This window comes from Homo sapiens, chromosome 7, assembly GCF_000001405.40.
Source record: "Homo sapiens chromosome 7, GRCh38.p14 Primary Assembly".
Lineage (NCBI taxonomy): Eukaryota > Metazoa > Chordata > Mammalia > Primates > Hominidae > Homo > Homo sapiens.
Genome location: NC_000007.14, coordinates 69,186,019 through 69,189,745, shown reverse-complemented (window position 1 = coordinate 69,189,745; position 3,727 = coordinate 69,186,019). Strand labels below are relative to the sequence as shown.

Here is a 3,727-nt window from a genome sequence, read left to right as displayed (position 1 = left end):
ATATAATCTATACTGCATATATAATATGTAATATATAATGTCTATGTAATGTGTGTATATTTATGTATGAGAGGAGATTTATCTTGGGAATTGGCTCACAGGATTATGGAGCCTGAGAAGTTCCACCATCTGCCACCTGCAACCTGGAGACCCAGGAAAGCCCGTGGCGTAATTCAGTCTAAGCCTGAAGACCTGAGAATCAGGGGAGCTGATGATGTTAACTCCTGGTTTAAATCTGAAGGCCTGAGAACTGGGGGTGCCGCTGCTGTAAGTCCTAGAGTTCAAAGGCCCAAGAACCCAGAGCTCTGATGTCTGAAAGCAGAAGATTGATGTCTCAGCTCAAAAAGAAAGTGTTAATTTGCCCTTTCTCTACCTTTTTGTACCATTCAGGCCCTCAATGGATTAGATGGTGTCCTTCCACATTGGTGAGGGCCAATCTTCTTTACTCGGTCTGATACTGACTCAAATCCTAATCTCTTCCAGAAACATCTTCATAGATGAACCCGGAAATAATGTTTTACTAGCCATCTGGGCATCCCTTAGCCCAGTCAAGTTGACACATAAAAGTAATCATCACATTGGTATATGAAGAGGATTAAATCACTCAATTTTGAATAGGTTTGTGAGTGCTGAACCTTCCTTGTCAAGGCTGATTCGAGTTCTTAATAATCTTCTCACTGTGTCCCTGGAGAAGAAGTAACATGGGAAATGATGCTCATGGATTGTCATGGTCCTTACTAGAGAAGGCCTGTATTTCTTGTATTCTTTATCGTAGTATGGTACAGTGATTGAGGGCGTCTACTGTGGAGTTAGTCTGACATTACTGTTCCAGCTCTGTCATTTGCTTGCTATGTGACTGTGGATCAATTTCTCAACATTCTAAAGTCCTGCTTGCCTCATTCAAAAAATAATAATATTTTACTTCTGAGAATTGCTGTGAAGTCCTGCCAAGATAATGCATGTAACTAGCAAATAGTGAATATCTGGTCAATAGTATTATCTTAAAGTAGACTGTAGATTTTGAGCATTTAGTAAGTTTTAAGGAGAAGATAGTAGCAAAATAATATAGAAAGTGCTAAATGAAAAGTAAAAAAATCACCAGAAAATCCTCTTATTCTGAGAGCAATTTTAATTTTGGTAAATATTCATTTAAGCTGCCAGCGATCTCTTTATGTGCATTTCTACTTAGAGACATAAAATTATATACACAAGTGCACAGATACACACACATAATTACATACACATATACACACACATAATCATATACACATATATTCATACACACACATTTTTACATGAATGACATAATATTCATGGTGTTTCATAACCTGTTTTTACTCAATACTATACCACGAATATCTTCCCAGAAAAATGTGTAGCTTTCTACCACTGTTTAAAGAACTGAGAGTGTGGATTTACCATAGTTTAATTTGTCACAACTGATGGACATTTAGGTTGTTAGACAACTCTGCTTTCCAGAAAGACACGAAGATACAACATAACTAAGACTTCAGTTACCTTGATTCATCTACAGGCCTAACTCATCTTATGTTTCTTTCCATTTCCAGCCTCTGACTCATCTCTTTGCCTTCTGAGTTCTCACTCATTCCCTGCTCTGGTGGGAGTCTCCCTTCCTCATGATATTATTCCTGTAGCAAACACATGACCCTCCCTGGCATTGACCCACCCAAGACTCTGGCTTCCTGTGATTCCAGGTCCACCCAGCAGGAGTCCACATGGCCAGCATTTCTATTGAGTTTACGCAGACTCACAGAAAGGAACCACTGATAGGAAGGCCACGGGCACTGTTTTAATGGTGGAATCATTCCACATCTGTGAATAAAATGCTACAGAACCTTTAGGGCTAGCAGCCGTCTCAGAGGACTTCTGATGCAATCTTTCTCCTATGGACTACCGGCAAAGAGAATAACCCTAAACCCAGATGTGATGATAAAAGGCAAAAGGTGATGTTTTACAAGGTAGAAAAAGAGATATGGAATTTAGAGTAGGGGAAATAGGCTTGTCTTCAGAACCTAGGACTGTAAAAGCCTTGTTATGGAAAATGGTTCTAAAAGGATTTCTTTCCTATGAAAATGATATGAAAATATATCGTTCCAAGAGACTGGACTAGAAGTCTTCCAAACTGTCTTCTAGTGATCCTGAATTATCAGAGTTTATGTCTTCTATGAAAGGGGACTGGTAATATCAGATTTGTAGTGTTATAGAGATTATCTAAAATAATGTCAAGGGGCTTTGTAAGAGAGACATTACTACTACTGTTATAAATATTCTTAAGAATTATAACCTCAAAGTAGCTTCCAATGTGTTTTACATTTTGCAGGGGCTCAATACATTAAATCAATAGGCTAAATAATGTAAAAGTAGCCAGTTATTAAGGAAATTACCTAATTCAAAAATTTTTTTTCCCTTAGACTGGATGACAATTCTAAGATTCCAGTTCTATGATTCATAATGGAAAAAAGGCGGAAACCACCCAAATGTTCATCAGCTGAAGAATGGATACATAAAATGCAGTTAAATTCATACAGTGGAATAGTATTCAGCAATGAAAAGGAATGACGCACTGGTACCTATTACGACATGAATGACTCATACAAACGCTATGCCGAGTGAAAGAAGCCAATCAAAAAAGACCACATGCTATATGACTCCATTCATATTATGTTCATAACAAGGAAATCTATGGATAAAGTAAATTAGTGGTTGCTTAAAGCTGGGAAGGATGTGGGAATAGAAAGGTGATAGTGAAAGAGCATAGGGTTTCTTTTAAAGGTGATGAAATAGTTCTAAAATTGTGGCTATGGTTGCACAGATCTGTGAATATACTAAACACCATTGAAATGTACAATTTCAATGGATGAATTGTATGGTATGTGAATTATATATAAATAAAGCTATTAAAAAATGATTCCCGGCCGGGCGTGATGGCTCACGCCTGTAATCCCAGCACTTTGGGAGGCCGAGGCGGGTGGATCATGAGGTCAGGAGATCCAGACCATCCTGACTAACATGGTGAAACCCCGTCTCTACTAAAAATACAAAAAATTAGCTGGGCGTGGTGGCGGGCGCCTGTAGTTCCAGCTACTCAGGAGGCTGAGGCAGGAGAATGGCGTGAACCTGGGAGGCGGAGCTTGCAGTAAGCGGAGAGATGGCGCCACTGCACTCCAGCCTGGGCGACAGAGCGAGACTCTGTCTCAAAAAAAAAAAAAAAAAAAAAAAAAAAAAAAGGAAAAGATTCCCAAGTCAGAGCAGGGAGATGACTATTTTAGCTCACACCCTAAAAAATAAACGGGATGGAACACCGCTCCTGGGGAAAGGCAACTGCAAGGTAAACAGGGTTCCCGAGGCTATTACAGCCCTGTCTGAGCCAACGGGGTACTAGGCAGCAAGACCACCTATAAAACCAACTCAGGGTCACCCAACTCCATTTATCAGTGACCTGGGACACAAGCCCATTACTGCCTCGCTTGCTCTCCATCTCTGACATGTTCTAGCTCTGCCACAGCGCATGACTCTGGCTCTTACTGCATTCGGAAACTGAACGTCTCTGATCAGGTCAGCCAGTGGGTTCCTAGGAGGCGCTGTCTCTGAAGGGTTGTTGAAATGATGTGGGAAGACTGAGGCAGGGGAAAGTGGCAGGTAAGAGTGTTTTATGTACCATCTGTGCGATCCAGATTTCTTGTTGCTTTTGTTCTAGTTTCTTGGG

General features: G+C 40.3%; 1 annotated feature.

Annotated features, from left to right (window-relative positions):
• Positions 1,428–2,627: an enhancer, noted in NCBI's record as "BRD4-independent group 4 enhancer chr7:68652106-68653305 (GRCh37/hg19 assembly coordinates)". NCBI's record gives its function as "activates an origin of replication core promoter dependent on BRD2, P300/CBP, MED14 and CDK7 cofactors, and independent of BRD4, by STARR-seq in HCT116 cells {active_cell/tissue: HCT116}" and the evidence as "EXISTENCE:reporter gene assay evidence [ECO:0000049][PMID:35650434]".